Source organism: Homo sapiens, chromosome 12, assembly GCF_000001405.40.
Source record: "Homo sapiens chromosome 12, GRCh38.p14 Primary Assembly".
Lineage (NCBI taxonomy): Eukaryota > Metazoa > Chordata > Mammalia > Primates > Hominidae > Homo > Homo sapiens.
This window is the reverse complement of record NC_000012.12, coordinates 31,992,192-32,014,259: the sequence shown is the minus strand read 5'-3', so window position 1 is coordinate 32,014,259 and position 22,068 is coordinate 31,992,192. Positions and strand designations below refer to the sequence as shown.

General features: G+C 44.2%; 1 protein-coding gene across 4 annotated transcripts in view, besides 2 other annotated features; it reads right to left on the bottom strand.

Annotated features, from left to right (window-relative positions):
* Positions 317 to 1,042: an enhancer, noted in NCBI's record as "OCT4-NANOG-H3K27ac hESC enhancer chr12:32166152-32166877 (GRCh37/hg19 assembly coordinates)". NCBI's record gives its function as "activates a minimal SCP1, AML or CMV promoter by ChIP-STARR-seq in primed H9 embryonic stem cells {active_cell/tissue: H9 hESC(primed)}" and the evidence as "EXISTENCE:reporter gene assay evidence [ECO:0000049][PMID:30033119]".
* Positions 20,208 to 20,372: a silencer, noted in NCBI's record as "fragment chr12:32146822-32146986 (GRCh37/hg19 assembly coordinates)". NCBI's record gives its function as "represses an EF-1alpha promoter that drives an FKBP-Casp9 reporter gene in an ReSE screen in HepG2 liver carcinoma cells {active_cell/tissue: HepG2}" and the evidence as "EXISTENCE:reporter gene assay evidence [ECO:0000049][PMID:32094911]".
* RESF1 (retroelement silencing factor 1) overlaps positions 21,153 to 22,068 on the bottom strand; it is a 33,693-nt gene continuing 32,777 nt past the window's right edge. For all 4 annotated transcript variants that reach the window (XM_011520722.2, XM_017019550.3, NM_018169.4 and 1 more), the window contains one exon: positions 21,153 to 21,882. In XM_011520722.2, coding sequence (XP_011519024.1) covers positions 21,725 to 21,882 — 158 coding nt within the window. In that variant the 3' untranslated portion in view covers positions 21,153 to 21,724. The remainder of the gene's footprint in view (positions 21,883 to 22,068) is intronic.

The window sequence follows — 22,068 nt, the reverse complement described above, 5'->3', positions numbered from 1 at the left end:
AACAAAATGAAATAATTTCTGTTTTTACTTTTTGCAGTTAGTTTATAATACTGTCCAGAAGAAATGGTTCTGATTATACAGTTTCTCTGATTATACAGTTTCTGTTAAATTATATTGTAGGGGATCAGAATATGCCACCCCTAAATAAGGACTGTTTTGAGCTGAAGATGATTCAGGAACAGCAGATGCAAAGAAAGAGAGAAAGAGAGAAGGAAGGAAGGAAGGAAGGAACGAAGGAAGGGAGGGAGGGAGGGAGGGAAAAGAAGGAAAGAAGAAAGAGGAAAGAAAGAAAGAAAGAAAAGAAAGAGAAAGGAAGAAAGGAAGAAAAGAGAAAGAAAGAAAAAGAAAGAAAAGAAAGAAAGAAAGAAGGAAAAGAAAGAAAGACAGACAGACAAGCAGGCAGGCAAGGCCTACTCTTTCCTTCATTTGCTTAAAAACAGACTTAGATTGATAATCACTGGTGAAAACTCTAGACTCTGTCCAGGAAGACTGAGAAGAATCTGCATAAGAAACCTTACTAAAACAACCCTGATCTTCCATTTGTTTCTTCCCAGTTTGCTACCCCTGGAAGCCTGAAACCTTCACCTTTGTCTCCTCACTTCTTTACAAATTTCTTATTCTTTTGTTAAACCCAAATTCTAACCACTCCTTTGATGGCATTGTTTATCACTGAGTTTCCACATGTTTACATGTCAATCTGGTTTTTTTCAGTTTAATTTGCAGCCCCCACCCCAGGAGGGCAGAAGAAAAAGGGTTCTTTCCCTCCCTACAAGATGAGTAAGATTTTTTTTCTTTTTTGAGTTTTCTTGTTGCCCAGGCTGGAGTGAAATGGCGCAATCTTGGCTCACTGCAACCTCCGCCTCCCGGGTTCAAGCAGTTCTCCTGCCTCAGCCTGCCGAGTAACTGGGTCTACAGGTGCGTGCCACCATGCCCAGCTAATTGTTGTATTTTTAGTAGAGATGAGATTTCACTATGTTGGCCAGGCTGGTCTCGAACTCCTGACCTCAGGTGATCCACCCACCTTGGCCTCCCAACGTGCTGGGATTACAGGCGTGAGCCACTGTGTATGGCCGAGTAAGATGTTTTTAACATCAAGAGTAAGTTGTCTTACAAGTGAGAAAAATAAAATAATCAAAAGCCATCTTCAAACGAGAAGAAACATTTTTTAGGGAGACTTCAGAATGGGAGCATATGGAATTAGAACTGGGAACCCCCAAATCTGAGACAGATCTCAGTCAATTTAGGAAGTTAAGGTCCTGTGTCCATGACACAGCCTCAGAAGGTTTGTTTTGTTTTGAGAAGGAGTCTCCACTCTGTCACCCAGGCTGGAGTGCAGTGGCATGATCTCAGCTCACTGCAACCTCCACTTGAACTCCTGAGTTCAAGCGATTCTCCTACTTCAACCTCCTGAGTAGCTGGTATTACAGACGTGAGCCATCATGCTGGGCTAATTTTTGTATTTTTAGTAGAGACAGGGTTTCATCATCTTGGCCAGGCTGTTCTGGAACTCCTGGCCTCAAGCGATCTGCCATCTGGACCTCCCAAAGTGCTGGGATTACAGGTGCACAGCCAGGAGGTCTTGATGACATATGCCCAAGGTGGTCAGAGCACAACTTGGTTTTACACATTTTAGGGAGACAGGAGATGTCAATCAACATATGTAGATGAACATTGGTTCCATCTGGAAAGGTGGGACAACTAGAAGGAAAACCGGGACAACAAGAAGAGGGAAGGGGGCTTCCAGGTTATAGGTAGATAAGAGACAGATGTTCGCATTCTTTTGAGTTTCTGACTAGCCTCTCCAAAGGAGGCAATCAGATACACATTTATCTCAGTGAACAGAGGGATGACTTTGAATAGAATGGGAGGCAGGTTTGCCCTAAGCAGTTCCCAGCTTGACTTTTTTTTTTCCTTTTAGCTTAGTGATTTTGGGACGCCAAGATTTATTTTCCTTTCACACAACCTTCTTACCCCCTTTTCAGTTCCTTCATCAATGTATGATTGCTGAAGAATGAGTAAAAAGTTAATGAAGGCCGGGCGCGGTGGCTCACGCCCGTAATCCCAGCACTTTGCGAGGCTGAGGCAGGCAGATCACGAGGTCAGGAGATCAAGACCATCTTGGCTAATAGGGTGAAACCCTATCTCTACCAAAAATACAAAAAATTAGCTGGCCGTGGTGGCAGGCGCCTGTAGTCCCAGCTACTCAGGAAGCTGAGGCAGGGGAATCGCTTGAACCCGGGAGCCAGAGGTTACAGTGAGCCGAGATCGCATCACTGTATTCCAGCCTGGGTGACAGAGCGAGACTCCGTCTCAAAAAAAAAAAAAAAAAAGTTAATGAAGTATAGGAGACATCCTTTCTTACTCGTAACTTCAAAATACACAAAATAGCAGTGTGAGGCAGTGTTATCTTCTTGCCTGTGTTTATAACCTGACTCTGACACTTGTCATCCATGTGTCTTTGGGCAAATTATTTTATGTATTATTTTTATCTCTTTTTTGATTTTTGATTTTTTTTGGTTGGAGGGTGGGGTGGAGTGGCCAGAGTCTTGCTCTGTTGCCCAGGCTGGAGTACAGTGATGTGATCTCTGCTCGCTGCAACCTCCACCTCCCAGGTTCAAGCGATTCTCCTGCCTCAGCCTCCTGAGTAACTGGGGCTACAGGTGCGGGCCATCACGCCCAGCTAATTTGTTTATTTTGTATTTTTAGTACAGACAGAGTTTTACCATGTTGCCCAGGCTAGTCTCAACCCCTGGCCTCAAGTGATCCACCCTTTTCAGCCTCCCAAAGTGCTAGGATTACAGGCATGAGCCACCGCACCTGGCCTGGGCAAATTATATAACCCTTCTTGGCCTCAGCTGTCTTCATCTAAAACAGGATTATAATACAGGCTTGTTGCGAGAATTATATGTTTCACAACATGTGGGCATCAGTATAAGGAAAAGGCATGAAATCACATGAGAAAGTATCTTTAAATTCTTTTCAATTTCATGCAATTGAATCAAGAAGAGTCCTGGTCTGTGCTAATAAGATTGTTCATTAATACCTCTCTAAAACATTCCAAAGACAGGGAGAGTGAGTAATCATCTGCCTAAATTTTTTAAATAATTCTGATTTAGCATTTATTAATTTGAATAAACTTACTCCACCCTCTCCAGGCTCCTTACTCCCGAATTCTGTTCCACTGTCTAGGCTTTAGGTCAGGCTCAAGGACAAGTTATTTAGATTTTATTTCTATCTTCTGCCTTTAAAAACATAGATAAAATTGTCCTTGGTCTCAGGGGTAAACAAAATCAAGCTATAAACTGAATATTGCTCTCCAGCCAGGGTGTCCCACTGTCTTAGCAAAAAACTGGAAGGAAGGGAACAGATAAATGGATGGGGACTGTAAACAACCAAATATTTTTCATTTTCTAGAAGTGGGAAATCATCCAAAAGGTGCAAATATTTGGTTAGGTGTTTACATTTTCATGCTCCATTGTTGATGTTGTGGAACTAGGAGCAAGCTAATACTAGGAACAAGATAATACTGTGGACTGCAACAGCCAAAACTCTTGGCTTTCTGTGGCCCGGGTTATTTGCTCTTTCTTTCTTCCTTCCTCCTGCTCCTCTGCTGTAAGCACCCCCATCTTCCAGCTTTCCCAGTGAAGTGCCTTCTCCTTAGGGCCTTCCTTCTTAAAGAGTGAATGTGCTTCCCTCTCGACCATTATAGGGTGCACTCCAGGCAAAACCTGTCTTTTTTTTTTTTTTTTTTTTTTTTTGAGACTGAGTCTCGCTCTGCTGCCAGGCTGGAGTGCGGCGGTGCGATCTCGGCTCAATCTCCGCCTCCCGGGTTCAAGCTATTCTCCTGCTTCAGCCTCCTGAGTAGCTGGGACTACAGGCGCGCACCACTACGCCTGGCTAATTTTTTGTATTTTAGTAGAGACAGGGTTTCACCATGTTGGCCATGGTGGTCTGGAGCTCCTGACCTCGTGATCCGCCTGCCTCGGCCTCCCAAAGTGCTGGGATTACAGGCGTAAGCCACTGCCCCCGGCCTTAAAATTATTTTTAAAAAATAGAGATGGGGGGAGGGGGGCGTCCCACTATGTAGCCCAGGCTAGTCTGGAACACCTGGGTTCAAGCAATCCTCCCACCTCAGCCTCCCAAAGTGCTGGGATTTTAAGTTGTGAGCCACCATGCTTGGCTAAAACATGTCTTTATATGCCCCAGTTTTATCTTAAATTTTTTGTGCAGATTTGCATTCTGTTCTAACGTATACTCCTGTTCGTTTCATTTTATTTTATTAATTATAAAAAATACAGGGCCGGGGGCGGTGGCTCATGCCTGTAATCCCAACACTTTGGGAGGCCGAGATGGGTGGATCACCTGAGGTCAGGAGTTTGAGACCATCTGACCAACATTGTGAAACCCTGTCTGTACTAAAAATACAAAATTAGCCAGGTGTGGTGGCATGTGCCTGTAATCCGAGCTACTTGGGAGGCTGAGGCAGGAGAATCGCATCAACCCGGGAGGCGGGGATTGCAGTGAGCTGAGATCGCGCCATTGCACTCCCATTTTGGGCAACAGGTGTGAAACTCCGTCTCAAATAAATAAATAAATATGCCGGGAGCGGTGGCTCACGCTGTAATCCCAGCACTTTTGGGAGGCCGAGGCGGGCGGATCACGAGGTCATGCTTTTGAGACCATCCTGGCTAACACGGTGAAACCCCGTCTCTACTAAAAACACGAAAAATTAGCCAGGCGTGGAGGCGGGCGCCTGTAGTCCCAGCTACTCAGGAGGCTGAGGCAGGAGAATCGCTTGAACCTGGGAGGCGGAGGTTGCAGTGAGCCGAGATCGTGCCACTGCACTCCAGCCTGGGCGACACAGCAAGACTCTGTCTCATAAAAAATAAAAATAAATAAATAAATAAATAAATAAATAAATAAATAAATAATAGAGATGAGGTCTCCCTATATTTGACAGGTTGGTTGAACTCTGGGCCGCAAACAATCCTCCTACCTTGGCCTCCCAAAGTGCTAGGATTACAGGTGTAAGCCACCACACCCGGCCTCGTGTGTGTTTTCATTTTAAATTCATAAACCTTCAGGAAAAATTTTTCCCAGGTTTATTAAGGCATAATTGAGAACAATTATATATATTTAAGCTGTACAACATCAAAATTTGGTACACGTTGTGAAATGATTACCACAACCAAACTAATTGATATATTCTTTACATCACAGAGTTACTTTTTTTTTTTTTTTTTTTTTTTGAGACGGAGTTTCGCTCTTGTTGCCCAGGTTGGAGTGCAACAGCACTATCTTGGCTCACCGCAACCTCCACCTCCCGGGTTCAAGTGATTCTCCTGCCTCAGCCTCCCTAGTAGCTGGGATTACAGGCATGTGCCACCACACCCGGCTAATTTTGTATTTTTAATAGAGACGGGGTTTCTCCATGTTGGTCAGGTTGGTCTCGAACTCCCGACCTCCGGTGATCCGCCCACCTCAGCCTCTCAAAGTGCTGGGATTACAGGCATGAGCCACCGTGCCTGGCCTTTTTTTTTTTTTTTTTTTTTGAGACAGAGTCGCAGAGTGCAGTGGCTCAATCTCGGCTCACTGCAATCTCTGCCTCCCAGGTTCAAACGATTCTCATGCCTCAGCCTCCTAGCTGGGGTCACAGGCATGTGCCACCACACCCAGCTAATTTTTTGTATTTTTAGTAGAGACGGGTTTTTGCCATGTTGCCCAGGCTGGTCTCGAACTCCTGAGCTCAGGCAACCCACCCACCTCAGCCTCCCAAAGTGCTAAGACTACAGGCCTGAGCCACTGCACCTGGCTGCTGCCTTTTTTATAATAGCCATCCTAACAGGTGTGAGGTGATACTCATTGTAGTTTTGATTTGCATTTCCCTGATAATTAATGATGTTGAGCACCTTTTCATACACCCGTTGGCCATTTGTGTATCTTCTTTGGTAAAAGGACTATTCAGGTCTTTGCTCATTTTTCAGTTGGGTTATTTGGTTTTCTGCCATTGAGCTATGTGAGTTTCTTACATAATATTTGAGATATTTGAGCTTGGAAGTGGACATAAAAGAAAAATAAAGAAAAAAGAAAAAAAATTTTGAGATATTAACCCCTTATCAGATATACAGATTGTAAATATTTCTCCTATTCCATAGGTTGCCTTTTCATTTTGTCGATTGTTTCCTTTGTTGTGCAGAGGTTATTTAATTTGATGTAATCCCAGGAAAAAAAAATGTAAACTTTTTCTTTCAAATCTTTCAATCTAATTAATGCATTAGAAAGTTGCCACCTCCCACAATGGTCTGTGATCCAGACTTCAACAGACCTCAAGGAATACACCAGGAGTTAAAGTTACAGAGCAGGCCAGGCGCGGTGGCTCATGCCTGTAATCCCAGCACTTTGGGAGGCTGAGGTGGGCGGATCACTTGAGGCCAGGAGTTCAAGACCAGCCTGGACAACATGGCGAAACCTCATCTCTACTAAAAACACAAAAATTAGCTGGGCGTGGTGGTGCATGTCTGTAATCCCAGCTATTTGGGAGGCTGAGGCATAAGAATCACTTAAACCTGGGATGTGAAGGTTGCAGTGAACTGAGATGGTGCCACTGCACTCCAGTCTGGGTGAAGGAGAAAGACTCCTTCTCAATATGTTAGCCAGGATGGTCTTGATCTCCTGACCTTGTGATCCGCCCGCCTCGGCCTCCCAAAGTGCTGGGATTACAGGTGTGAGCCACCACACCCGGCCTCCTGAGTCCATTATTTAAGGGGATTTATACTATAAATGACTTCCATGAATATGAGAGGTCCTGAGTGTTATCTGTTTGCTTACTTGCTTTTGGGACGTTTCTATAGACTTTTCTTTGTAGGAATTCCAGTTTTTCTGGATTCTTCACTCTTCTTCATGTATGCCATTTTGCATTCTTCCTAAAAGGTTGGATTATAGTAAGTGGTTAGACGTTCTTTCAATGCAGACTTTTATTTTTGGCATTTTACTAACATAAAGATTCTAGAGTTCTTGCAACAGTTGGCAAAATCTGGAACTGGCTCAGAACACCTCTCTCTGTCCTGTTTTCTCATTATTTTAGGGCTCAAAATATCTTTTTCTCAACATGGCTGCTCTCCAGGATCAAGCACTGTCTCCACAAGACAGAGAAGGCAGCCCCTTGGCAGCTCTGGGGCTTGTTTTTTTCAAATAAATAAAAGTAGCCACTTGGAAAAAAAAAAACAAAGTTCCGGCCGGGTGCGGTGGCTCAGCCTGTAATCCCAGCACTTTGGGAGGCCAAGGCGGGGGGATCACAAGGTCAGGAGATCGAGACCATCCTGGCTAACACAGTGAAACCCCGTCTCTACTAAAAATACAAAAAAATTAGCCGGGCGTGGTGGCGGGCGCATGTAGTCCCAGCTACTGGGGAGGCTGAGGCAGGAGAATGGCTTGAACCCGGGAGGTGGAGCTTGCAGTGAGAGGAGATCGCACCACTGCACTCCAGCCTGGGCGACAGAGCAAGACACCATCTCAAACAAACAAACAAACAAAAAAACAAAGTTCCTGTCCTCATAGATTTAAATTTAAATTCTAGTAGGAGAGAACAATAAACAAATAAACTTATTAATCCTCCACTGAGGATTGTGTTAGACACTGTGAGAAAAAATAAATCAGCCCAAGGATGCGGGTGTAACCTGTATCAGGTGGCCAGAGAAGGTATCTCTGAAAAATGACATTTGGGGCCTGTATGAAGGGAGTGTCTATGTAGCTATCTAGGCAGATATTGTTCCAGACAGACAGATAAGTCTGTGCAAAGGCCTCGAGGTAGAGTCTGCTTAGAACATTTGAGGGCCAGATACAGTGGCCGACACCTGTAATCCCAGCACTTTGGGAGGCGAGGTGGGCGAATCACCTGAGGTCGGGAGTTCGAGACCAGCCTGACCAACATGGTGAAACCCCGTCTCTACTAAAAATACAAAATTAGCTAAGCATGATGAATGCGTGCCTGTAATCCCAGCTACTCAGGAGGCTGAGGTCGGAGAATCGCTTGAACCCGGGAGGCAGAGGTTGCAGTGAGCTGAGATCGTGCCATTGCACTCCAGCGTGGCGACAGAGTGAGACTCCATCTCAAAAAAAAAAAAAAAAGAAGGAGAACACTTGAGGGCTGCAAAAAAGGCCAGTGTAACTGAAGTGAAGTAAACTTACACAAATGTCCACTGCATCCGTGAGAAGAAACTTAGAGCTTTGGAATGGGCCCTAGACACGAGCTATTTGACATATAGCCAGATATTAATCATTGTTACTGCTAATGGATGGGATTTTAGATGATTTTTAATTTCTTTTGAACTTTCCACGTCATCTTCTGAAGGCCTAATCCCTTTGGAATTAGATGATACAACAAACTTTAAAAATCGTAGAGTGAAACTCGTTTTTTTTATAGGTGAAGAAACTGAAGAAGAGAACTTATGCTTCTAGATGTTGCAGAAGCTTAAATTCCGGTTGCCTGAGGCCTAGTCCAGGGGGTCGTGGCAGCAGCAGGCTGAGACCGATAAGCCTCACCAGCCTCCTGAAGGTGCTTACTGATCATGTGCCAGGACACTCTTATCATCAACAGGCATGCGGCAACTGGAGGGCAGTGGTTAAGACAGCAGGTCAGCAACAGAGATAAGCCAAGACAGAAAAAAGCTGGGGAAGAATCCTTCTGTCCACAGGAGCTTTTGGAATTTTTTTTGTTTTTTAGACGGCGTCTTGTTTTGTTGCCCAGGCTGGAGTGCAATGGAGCAATCTCGGCTCACTGCAACCTCTGCCTCCTGGGTTCAAGCGTTCTCCTGCCTCAGCCTCCCGAGTAGCTGGGATTACAGGAGCCTGCCACCACGCCCAGCTAATATATATATATACATATATATATACACACATATATATACATATATATACATATATATACACATATATACATATATATACACACATATATATACATATATACACACATATACATATATACACATATATATACATATATACACATATATATACATATATACACACATATATACATATATACACATATATACATATATACATATATACACATATACACATATACACATATACACATATATCTACACATATATATACATATATATGCACATATATACATATATACACATATATATACATACATATATATATATATATATATATATATATTTTTTTTTTTTTTTTTTTTTTGAGACAGAGTTTCGCTCTTGTTGCCCAGGCTGGAGTGTAGTGGCGCGATCTCGGCTCACTGCAACCTCCGCCTCCCAGGTTCAAGCGATTCTCATGTCTCAGCCTCCAGAGTAGCTGGGATTACAGGCACTCGCCACCACACCCGGCTAATTTTTTGTATTTTTAGTAGAGATGGGGTTTTACCATGTTGACCAGGCTGGTCTCGAACTCCTGACCTTAGGTGATCCGCCCACCTCGGCCTCCCAAAGTGCTGGGATTACAGGCATGAGCCACTGCATCCAGCCCGGGTTTTGGAATTTCATCTGGTATGAGAAGGCCAGAAAAGTGGGACTCCTCCAAGTCATTGTAATTAAATGTAGTTGTAGCTAAGCCTCCTAAAAATGTGTGCTAAAACTTGCCCATCAGTAGGCCCTCAGCATAGCAAAGGAAGAAGTTGTGTTTTCTTTTCTTTTCTTTTTTTTTTTTTTTTTTGAGAGGGAGTCTCACTCTGTCGCCAGGCTGGAGTGCAATGGCGCTATCTCGGCTCACTGCAACCTCTACCTCCCGAGTTCAAGTGATTCTCCTGCCTTAGCTTCCTGAGTAGCTGGGATTACAGGCATGTGCCACCATTCCTGGCTAATTGTGTATTTTTAGTAGAGACAGGGTTTCACCATGCTGGCCAGGCTGGTCTTGAACTCCTGGCCTCAGGTGATCCTCCCACCTCGGCCTCCCAAAGTGCTGGGATTACAGGCGTTAGCTGCCATGCCTGGCCAAAAGGAATGAAATATTGATACATACTACAACACAGATAAGCCTTGAAAACATTATGCTAAATGAAAAGAGCCAGATGCAAAAGGTCACATATTACATGATTTTATTAATATAAAATGCACAGAATATGTAAATTGATAGAGACAGAAAGTAGCTTAGTGGTTGTCAGGTGCTAGGGGTAGGGTGGTGTGAATGGAAAGTGAACTGCTAATGGATATGGAGTTTCTTTTGGAGATGATGAAAATCTGCTGAAATTAGATAGTGTTGATGGTTGTACAACTTTATAAATATACTAAAAAATATCACTGAATTGTATGCTTTATATGTATGTCTGAATTATGTTTCTTTTCTTTAAAAAGGGAAAATGTTGGCTGGGTGCAGTGGCACACACCTGTAATCCAAGCACTTTGGGAGGCCAAGGCAGGTTGATTGCTTGAACCCAGGAGTAGGAGACCAGCCTGGGCAACATAGTGAGACCCCTTCTCTACTAAAACCACAAAAATAAGCTGGGGGTGGTGGCGCATGTTTGTAGTCCCAGCTACTTGGGAGGCTGAGGTGGGAGGATTACTTGAGCCTGGGAGGTTGAGGTTGCAGTGAGCTGTGCTCACACCACTGCACTCCAGCCTGGGTAACACAGCAACTCCTCAAATAAATAAATTAAAATAAAAAGGGAAAAAGTGAAAGGGGCCATTCCAAACCTCCACCCCTTGGTTATTCGGTTCATGCGGTATTTGGCTATGCGGGAGACGTCACCAAATATTAGCTACTGGCTTAAGTCATATATTCATTCTGTAAGACAGCCTTCTAATCCTCCAGCTAATTTTCTCCAGCTAATGTAGTAACTAAGCTGTTAGCAGGCATTCTGCCATTTTGTCAAGTCAGATGCTTCTGGGTCCTTGGGGCTTGTGGTAGTGCTAGTAAATTGTATCAGTGTAATTCTCTCTCATCGTGTCCTTCACTGTAGACAGGTTGCTTAGTGATTTGTATGGAATATCACAGCAATGAATAGGCCTTCTGCTTAGTGCCAGCAGGACCATTTCTGGCAGGCAAATTCATATTTGGAATGTTTCTATTCCCAAAGGCACAAATTGCTTCTCCTTCTGTGTAGAAAGGGTCCAATGTATCAATCTACCACCAAGAGGCTCATTGGTTCCCTGGAGAATGGTGTGATCAGTCAGGGGCCCAGCATAGCCTTGACTCTTGGTGCATGGGCAGAGAAGCCTCAGTGAGAAGTCCATGCAGACCTCCTTTCTTGTTGCCATGGCACTTTATAAATGGGCCTATTAAGCACCAGGGTGGCTGGGGAAAAAGGCTGACATCCATAGGACTAGCTATCTTACCCATCTGATTGAGAGCCTACTCTGCAGTAGATGCCAAACAGGACATTTTCTACATATGTTCCAGTAGTTATTTACCATTGCTTTTTGCCTGTCTGCACTATGCCAGTTTGCAGATGCTATGAAGTACTACCTTTGCTTTTCATTTAATCATGCCCCAGAATTTGCTCTTGTAAAGGGTGTGGTGTATTATATCACAGTATAGATAACTCAAAAGCTATCTATTTATTTACTTAATTTTTTATTGAGGCAGTGTCCTACTATGTTGTCCAGGCTGGTCTCAAGCTCCGATGCTCAAGGGATCCTCCCACTTCACCCTCCTGAGTAGCTGGGATTTTAAAGCCTCTTAAAAGAATTATTCTCATGTGCTTCTGGTAGCAAGATATGAGGTTGGCTTTATCACTGTCTCTTAGGGTCATCTCTAAGTGAGGCTATGTAATACTTCCAGCTGGAGCCAGCATACTGTGCAGACCAATTCATAAACCAGGACTTGTCTTGGTTTATTCCCATTGGTTTATATCCATTCGTGTCTTCTCTCATGAAGCCTTATATGTGGACTGAGGGAAAGCCAGAGAAACAGAAGGAAGAGGTGTTATGGAACCCCGAGCAAGCTACTTGATTTTTTTTTTTTTTTTTTTTTTGAGATGGAGTCTTGCTGTGTCGCCCACGCTGGAGTGCAGTGGCACGATCTCGGCTCACTGCCACCTCCGCCTCCCAGGTTCACGCCATTCTCCTGCCTCAGCCTCCCGAGTAGCTGGGACTACAGGCGCCCGCCACCATGCCCGGCTAATTTTTTTGTAGTTTTAGTAGAGACAGGGTTTCACTGGGTTAGCCAGGGTGGTCTCCATCTCCTGACCTCGTGATCCGCCCACCTCAGCCTCCCAAAGTGCTGGGATTACAGGCGTGAGCCACCGTGCCCGGCCGCTTGTATGTTTTAATTGTGTCCTCAGGAACTGCTTGGGCTAGTCTTACATATACATTTTCATTTAACAATGAAATGCTGCTGCATGAGTCAAATTTTATGGTTTTTGGAATCAGATGACATCAAATTCATCAACAGTTCAGGTTTTACAATTTGTGTTCAAATGGAATGTACTTGTCAGAAAAGGTCATAGGGGGTTTACTAGGATTCTCCTAAAAGCAAGAGGTTTCACACACAGTAGAAATTCCCTGTACCATTGGGCCTGCTGGGCCATTAGGCCCAAGGGGCAGGGCAGCTTGCACCACAGCCTGGTCCTGCTGTGGAGCCTTTGCTTGCTTGAGGCCTCACATAAAATTAGAGCTGTGTGGGCCGGGTGCGGTGGCTCACACCTGTAATCCCAGCACTTTGGGAGGCCGAGGCGGGCAGATCACGAACTCAGGAGGTCGAGACCATCCTGGCTAACATGGTGAAACCCCGTCTCTACTAAAAAATACAAAAAAATTAGCTGGGTGTGGTGGCGGGTGCCTGTAGCCCCAGCTACTCAGGAGGCCAAGGCAGGAGAATGGCGTGAACCCAGGAGGCGGAGCTTGCAGTGAGCTGAGATGGGGCCACTGCACTCCAGCCTGGGCGAGAGAGCGAGACTCCATCTCAAAAAAAAAAGAAATTAGAGCTGTGTGTGTGTTACCTGATAAATTGCTTAGGGTGACACGTCCATAAGGTGGCATGTCCATAGATGGTGTATGTTCCCTCCAAACTTCACACAGGCTCATCAAACATTTCTCTTTGTGGTAGATGGTACAATATACACAAGACTACAATCAGACCCTAAAAACCTTACGAATGTGGTCAATCATGAATTTTTATTCAAGATTTCCTTCCCATCCCGTCATGCATGTGTTTTATTAAGTCTTGTAGGATGTTTATTATTTTCTGCTTGTCAGGTCCAATTAGCATAATATCATCAAAGAAACGGACCAACGTTGTGTGGGCTATCAAGATGACAAAATCCACTCTATTATAACAGAAAGCAGGATACAGCCAGGCATGGTGGCTTATGCTTGTAATCCAGCACTTTGGGAAGCTGACATGGGAGGATTGCTTGAGCCTGACCAGACTGGGCAACACAGGGAGACCTCATTTCTCTAAAAAATAAAAAATTATCCAAGGATGGTGGTGCACGCCTGCAGTCCCAGCTACTCAGGAGGCTGAGGTGGGAGGATCACTTGAGCCCAGAAGGTCAAGGCTGCAGTGAGCTGTGACCACACCATTGCACTCGAGTCTGGGTGGCACAGCAAGACCGTGTCTCCAAAAAATAAAAACAACAACGAAAGAATCACTAGACATTTATATTTTATTTTAAAAAAGGTAGAATATTCGAAGGCAGATATCTAAGCTTAAAGTAGCTACAGCCAAGTATACTAAACGTTAATGGTCCATGTCCTAGAGGTTGAAAGATTCATAATCAGGAGAATACAAGGCAACCAGGTGCTGAGTCAGCCCACAGGGGAATGCAGATAAGACCTCAGGCAGGCTTTAACAGGGTCTTAAAGATAAAATAACTATCCTGTCTAGGCACAAGCTTATAGGAATCCCAATGACAGAGATACACATTTTTATTTTTTTGAGACAGAGTCTCACTCTCTCGCCCAGGCTGGAGGGCAGTGGCGCGATCTTGGCTCATTGCAAGCTCTGCCTCCCGGGTTCACACCATTCTCCTGCCTCAGCCTCCCGAGTAGCTGGGGCTACAGGCGCCCACCACCACACCTGGCTAATTTTTTTTTTTTTTACATTTTTTAGTAGAGACGGGGTTTCACCATATGAGCCAGGATGGTCTCCATCTTCTGACCTCATGATCCGCCTGTCTCAGCCTCCCAAAGTGCTGGGATTGAGCCACCGTGCCCAGCCGTGCCTGGCTAATTTTTGTATTTTTAGTAGACACAAGGTTTTGCCATGTTGGCCAGGCTGGTCTCAAAACTCCTGACCTCAGGTAATCTACCCACCTCAGCCTCCCAAAGTGCTGGGGTTACAGGCGTAAGCCACGCCACCCAGCCTCCAGAAACTTTTAAAAAGCACATTTCCTAATATTTATGCCCTTGGATAACCCCCTTGAGTATGGGCTGGAATTCTGTGACTCACTTCTAGCAAATAGAAAGTAGCAAAATTGACACATCATTTCAGAGATTAGGTTAGAGACTGACTTTGGGACCGGGCATAGCGGCTCACCCCTGTAATCCCAACACTTCGAGAGGCTGAGGTGGGCAGATTGCTTGAGCCCAGGAGTTCACCATCCTGGGCAACATGGCGAAACCCTATTATCTACAAAAAAACTCCCAAAATACAAAAATTAGCAGGCCAGTGGCATGGGCCTGTGGTCCCAGCTACTTGTGCGGCTAGAGTGGGAGGACTGTCCAAGCCCAGGAGGCAGGGGTTGCAGTGAGCCAAGATCGCACCACTGCACCCCAGCCTGGGTGAGAGAGACCCTATCTCCAAAAAAGTATTTATTTTTACAACCTTAAAAACTGAAGAATACCAAGATATATTTATCAATATCGATTCCATGAGAACTTGAAACAAATTTTGAAGATACTTCATTTTAAAATGATGAACCCATTACATTCATATAATTTTTTTTTTTTGAGACTGAGTCTCACTGTCTCCCAGGCTGGAGTGCAGTGGCGCGCAGTCTCAGCTCACTACAACCTCTGCCTCAGACTCCTGAGCAGCTGAGACTACAGGCACGTGCCATCACACCCAGTTAACTTTTGTATTTTTGTTTGTTTTTTTGAGACAGTCTCACTCTGTCGCCCAGGCTGGAGTGCAGTGGCTTGATCTTGACTCACTGCAACCTCTGCCTCCTGAGTAGCTGGGACTACAGGCCCAAGCCACCACGCCCAGCTAATTTTTGTATTTTTAGTAGAGACGGGGTTTCACCATGTTGGCCAGGCTGGTCTCGAACTCCTGACCTCGTGATTCACCAGCCTTGGCCTCCCAAAGTGCTGGGATTACAGGCATGAGCCACCGAGCCCACCAATGTTTGTATTTTTAGTAGGGACAGGGTTTCACCATTTTGGCCAGGCTAGTCTCAAACCTCTGACCTTAGGTGATCCACCCAGCTCGGCCTCCCAAAGTGTTGGGATTACAGGCGTGAGCCACTGCACCCAGCCAAATAAATGTTTATGAAAAATACTTACCAGGAGAATGAGAAAAGATTGGCAGTTTTATATTTTTACAAATCTGACTTAAAAATATATACAGTACATAATACTTGACAATGATAAATGACTGTTACTGGTTTGTGTTTAGTATGTTATGCTTTTTATGTAGGTTAATTTATTCCTACTTATTTTTTTTTTAGACGAAGTCTCACTCTGTCGCCAGGCTGGAGTGTAGTGGTGTGATAGCTCGCTGCAACCTCCGCCTCCTGGGTTCAAGTGATCCTTCTACCTCAGCCTCCCGAGTAGCTGGGACTACAGGCATACACCACCATGCCCAGCTAATTTTTTGTACTTTTAGTAGAGATGGGGTTTCACCATGTTGGCCAGAATGGTCTCAATCTCCTGACCTCGTGATTCGCCTGCCTCGGCCTCTCAAAGTGTTGGGATTACAGGCGTGAGCCACTGTGCCCAGCTTCCTACTTTTTAAAAAACTAAAAAATATTTTTAAATTTAAATAAATTAAAAAATAGGCTTGGGTGCGGTGGCTCACACCTGTTGTCCCAGCTACTCGGGAGGCTGAAGCAGGAGAATTGCCTGAACCTGGGAGGCATAGGTTGCGGCAAGCCAAGACTGCGCCACTGCACTCCAGCCTGTGCGACAAAGCGGGGCTCCGTCTCAAAAACAAAACAAAACAAAAACTATAAAACAGCCTCAGCCAGGTCCTTCAGGTGTTCCAGAAGGCACTGTTATCACAGGAGATGACAGCTCCATGCGTGTTACTGCCCTTGGTGACCTTCCAATGGGGCAAGATGTAGAGGAGGAAGACAAGTGATACTGATGATCCTGACTACGTGGAAGCCAAGGTTAATGTTTTCCTGGTTCTGTTTTTTTTTTTTTTTGGTTGGGGGGGGGGGTGGAGACAGGGCTGAAGTAATCCTCCCACCTCAGCCTCCCAAGTAGCTGGCATTACAGGTGCACACCACCAAACCTGGCTAATTTTTGTACTTTTGGTAGAGACCGGGTTTCAGCATGTTGTACTGGTCTTGAACTCTTGGACTCAAGCAATACTGCTCACCTTGGCCCACCAAAGTGCTGGGATTACAGGCATGAGGCACTGTGTCCAGTCATCTCCTGACCTTGGTGAGCCACTGTGCCCATCTTTTAGTTTTCAATTTGAAAAAAAGTTAAAAAAAAATTTAATAAAAAAGAGCTTATACAAAAAGTATAAAGAAAATTTTGAAAAGGCTGGGTGTGGTGGCTCACACCTGTAATCCCAGCACTAGGAGGCCGAGGCGGGCAGACCACCTGAGATCAGGAGTTCGAGACCAGCCTGGCCAACACGGTGAAACCCCATCTCTACTAAAAATACAAAAATTACCTGGGCGTGGTGGCAGATGCCTGTAATACCAGCTACTCAGGAGGCTGAGACAGGAGAATCACTTGAACCCAGGAGGTGGAGGTTGCAGTGAGCCAAGATCACGCCAGTACACTCAAGCCTAGGTGACAGAGCAAGGCTCTGTCTCAAAAAAAAAGTTTGTACAGCTCTACAGTGTGCTTGTGTTTTAAGCCATGTTATTACGAGTTAAAAAGCTAAAAATTTGGCGGCTGGGCACAGTGGCTAACACCTGTAATCCCAGCACTTTATTATGGGAGGCCCAGGCGGGAGGATTGCTTCAGCCCATGAGTTTGAGACTGTTTTGGGAAACATGGCAAAACCCTGTCTCTACCAGAAATACAAAATTAGCAGTTTCTTAACCCTGTCTTGAAATGAATAAAAAAAATTACAATTAATGGCCTGATGCAGTGGCCCATGCCTGTAATCCCAGCACTTTGGGAGGCTGAGATAGGTGGATCACCTGAGGTCAGGAGTTCGAGACCAGCTTGGCCAACATGGTGAAACTATCTTTAGTTAAAATACAAAAATTAGCTGGGCGTGGTGGCACATACCTGTTAATCGCAGCTACTTGGGAGGCTGAGGCAGGAGAATAGCTTGAGCCTGGGAGGCAGAGGTTGCAGTGAGCTAAGATTGTGCCACGGCACTCCAGCCTGTATGGGAGGCAGAGCAAAACTCCGTCTAAAAAAAACAAAAAAACAACCAAAACCAAAATTAAAATTAAGTTAAAAGTTTAAAAAGTTAATATAGTTACCATAAGCTAAATTCTATTTAAGTTTTAAAGAATAAATTTAGTTACTAAAAATTAGCTGGACATGCTGGATCGTGCCTGTGTTCCCAGCTACCCTGGAGGCTGATGTGGGAGGACTGCTTGAAACAGGGAGGCGGAGGTTTCAGCAAGCTGAGACTACAGCACTGCATTTCAACCTGGGTAACAGAGACCCCGTTTTGCAGTAAAAAATAAAAATAAATTTAGGGTCGCCTAAGTGTACAGTGTTCATAAAGTTGATAGTAGTATACAGTAATGTCTTAGGCCTTCACATTCACTTGCTCAGACCAATTCACTGACTTGCAAGCAACTTCCAGTCCTGCAAGCGCTATTCATGGTTCATATTAAGTGCCCAATACAGGTACATCATTCATTCATTAAGATGGAGTTTTGTTCATGTAGCCCAACCTGGAGTGCAGTGGCACAACGTCAGCTCACTGCAACCTCCACCTCCCAGGCTCAAGTGATTCTCCTGCCTCAGCCTCCCAAGTAGCTGGGATTACAGGCATGCGCCAACACACCCAGCTAATTTTTGTATTTTTAGGAGAGCAGAGGTTTCACCATATTGGCCAGGCTGGTCTCGAACTCCTGACCTCAGGTGATCCACCCGCCTTGGCCTACCAAAGTGCTGGGTTTACAGGTGTGAGCCACTGTGCCCGGCATCATTTTTTTTTATACTGCATTTTTACAGTAGCTTTTCTATGCTTGAAGACCCAAATACTTAACTATTGTTATAATTCCCTACAGCATTCAGTACAGTAACATGATGTCCACATTTGTAGCCTATAAGCAATAAGATACACCATAGTGATTAGGTATGCAGTAGGACATCTAGGTTGACTACACCTTATTAGAGATACTTGGGACTGAAAATATTTCAGATATTTTTGGATCTTGGAATATTTGCATTATACTCACCACCTAAGCATCCTTAATCCAAGGATGCAAAATCCAAAATGCTCAAATGAGTATTTCCTTTGAGTATCACATTGGCATTCAAAGTTTCAGATTTTGGAACATTTTGGATTTTATTCTTTTTTTGAGACAGAGTTTTGCTTGTGTTGCCCAGGCTGGAGTGCAATGGCGTGATCTCGACTCGCTGCAACCTCCGCCTCCGGGGTTCAACCAATTCTCTTGCGTCAACCTCCTAAGTAGCTGGGATTACAGGGATCTGCCACCACACCATGCTAATTGTGTATTTTTAGTAGAGATGGGGTTTCACCATGTTGGTCAGGCTGGTCTTGGAACTCCTGACCTCAGGTGGTCTGCCCGCCTTGGCCTCCCAAAGTGCTGGGGTTTACGGGCATGAGCCACTGTGCCCAGCTCTGGATTTTAGATTTAGGATATTCAACCTGTACCATCTAGGTTTACACAAACCTAGTACATTCTAGGATAGTCACACAAGACCAAAATTGGCCAGGTGCAGTGGCTCATACCTGTAATCCCAGCACTTTGGGAGGCCAAGGCAGGCAGATCACCTGAGGTGAATCAATCTTTTATTTTGGCATGACAATATTTATAGATTTTTACTATTTAAAAAATGAAGTAGGCTGGGCGTGGTGGCTCATGTCTGTAATCCCAGCACTTTGGGAGGCTGAGGCGGGCAGATCACTTGAGGTCAGGAGTTCAAGACCAGCCTGGCCAACATGGTGAAACTCTGTCTCTACTAAAAATACTTTAGCAAGGCATGGTGGTGTGTGCCTGTAATCCCAGCTACTCGGGAGGCTGAAGCAAAATTGCTGGAGCCCAGGAGGCGGAAGTTGCAGTGAGTGGAGATCGTGCTACTGCACTCCAGCCTGGGCAAAAGAATGAGACTCCATTTAAAAAAAAAAAAAAAAATCACCTAGAGATGTATTTCTCAGAACATATCCCTGTCATTAAATGACAGAGGACCGTAGTTGTTTCCTAAAGGTTGGTTGTAATATGAAAGCTAAAAGCACAAAAAATTGCAATGTTTCATTAAAATCCATTGGTCTACCTTGTACATAGTTTTCAAATGAAAATTTTATATATATATATACAACATTAAGATTTTATAAAAATAACCAACATGCTCTGGGCGTGGTAGCTCACATCTGTAATCCCAGGACTTTGGGAGGCCAAGGCCAAAGGATTACTTGAGCCCAGGAGTTCAAGACCAGTCTGGACAACAGGGTAGAATCTCATGTCTCCAAAAATGTATGTATTTTTAAATTATGTGCTCAGGGTTGGGCAAGATGGCTCACGCCTGTAATCCCAGCACTTTGGGAGGCTGAGGCAGGCAGATCACGAGGTCAGGAGTTCAAGACCATCCTGACGACCAACATGGTGAAACCCCGTCTCTACTAAAAATACAAAAATTAGCTGGGCGTGGTGGCGGGCACCTGTGATTCCAGCTATTCGGCAGGAGAATCCTTGAACCCGGGAGGCGGAGGTTGCAATGAGCCAAGATGGCGTCACTGCACTCCAGCCTTGGCGACAGAGCAAGCCTCCGTCTCAAAAAAAAACAAACAGGCTGGACCCAGTAGCTCATGCTTGTAATCCCAGCACTTTGGGAAGCTGGGGTGGGCGGATCACCTGAGGTCAGGAGTTCGAGACCAGCCTGACCAACACGGTGAAACCCCATCTATACTAAAAATACAAAAATTAGCTGGGCGTGGTGGCGGGCGCCTGTAATCCCAGCTACTCTGGAGGCTGAGGCAGGAGAATCGCTTGAACCCGGGAGGCGGAGGTTGCAGTGAGCCCAGATCGCGCAATTGCACTCCAGCCTGGGTAACAGGGCGGGAGTACGTCTCAAAGAACAAACAAAAAAACCACAAAAATTCTCCAAACATTAAGAAACAAAAACAAACAAACAAAAAAACAAAATTATGTGCTCACTTTGGCAGCACACTAGAATACAAAGATTAGCAAATTAAATAATTTTTTTTTAAATTAGCCAGGTGTATTAGCACACTGTAGTCCCAGCTACTCATGAGGCAGAGACGGGAAGATTATTTAAACCCAGGAGCAGTGATTGCAGTGAACATTCATCCTACACCGCAGTACTCCAGCCTTGACGACAGAGTGAGACCCTGTCTCAAAACAAAAACTCCAACCCTTTTCTCGTAGTCATAAAGTAAAACTAGAAATAAAGTTATATCTTGCCTTCCAGTTTCTTGAAATTTCCTGAACCTAGTAAATTTTTTTGTGTTCTCATGTGAACGCAATCTAAAAATACCTACTGGCACAACTGCTGTGACATTTCAGCTTTTTTTTTTTTTTTTTTTTGAGAAGGAGTCTGGCTCTGTCGCCCAGGCTGGAGTGCAGTGGCGCGATCTCGGCGCACTGCAAGCTCTGCCTCCCGGGTTCACGCCATTCTCCTGCCTCAGCCTCCCGAGTAGCTGGGACTACAGGTGCCTCCCACCTTGTCCTGGTAATTTTTTGTATTTTTTTTTAAGTAGAGACGGCGTTTCACCGTGTTAGCCAGGATGGTCTCCATCTCCTGACCTTGTGATCCGCCCGCCTCAGCCTCCCAAGGTGCTGTGATTACAGGCATAAGCCACCTCGCATTTCAGCTTTTGAAAGCACTTTCCAAAATGCGTCCTTTTAAAGGTAGGAAACCAAAAAGAAACTGAGCTGTGAAGGTTTCAAATTAGTTTTTTAAAAAATAAATGTTTATTTCAAGTATGAAAAGTAATGTTTAAACGTTGTCCCAAAATTGTGTTCAGTTTCACAAGTATAAAATAAGACTTCTGAAAAAAAGTTTACAATTAGTTATAAAACACTTAAGAATATATTTTGACATTCACATCACAGTGGGCATTTTTGAAAAATAAATTTTGCTAATATAGCTTAGAAACCAAAACATATTTACAGTCCCATTTAAATAAACAAGTCCTTAACTGAGGAACGGTCCTCCCTCAAGATGGGTAGAATTTCAAATTGATTTGTATAAGCATTCCTTTTAAAATAATGGTAAATCTGGTTCAATAAAGTAGAAATTCAAATACCTTGTTTCCCCGGTGAATACCATCCATTTCTTACACATGGCTACCCAAAGTTCTCAAGCCATTTTAATTAAGCACTTTCAATGAAATACAATGAAAGTGGGAACCAAACTCTGAGAAATCTTTATCATGGCATTTCTCATTAGTTTCAGCGAAATATTTTGAACAGAAAAGGAAAGAAATTTCCCAGTGGCAATTACAAAACCACATCTTGTAATTATTTTACAGGACTGCTACCAAGGCTTCTGCTTCTCTTCTCCAGGTACATCTGTTTGTAGGTTTGAAACATTTCTTTTGAATCTTTTACTGGGTTTTGTAGCATCTCAAATCCATCTGCACTGAAGCTTCTCTTCGAGAGTCTTGAATTAACATTATCTAAGGGAAATAAAAACTTTACTTACTTTATTTCTCAATGTTAGCTGTGATCAATATATAATCAAAATTCAGAGGGAAAATATATATTGGAGGGATAAAAAATTAAGGCAAGGAGTTAAGCAAAAGTTTCAGAACCATAGCTCTTCACTTATAGAATTGTAAGTTATATACACGTGACATCTTGCC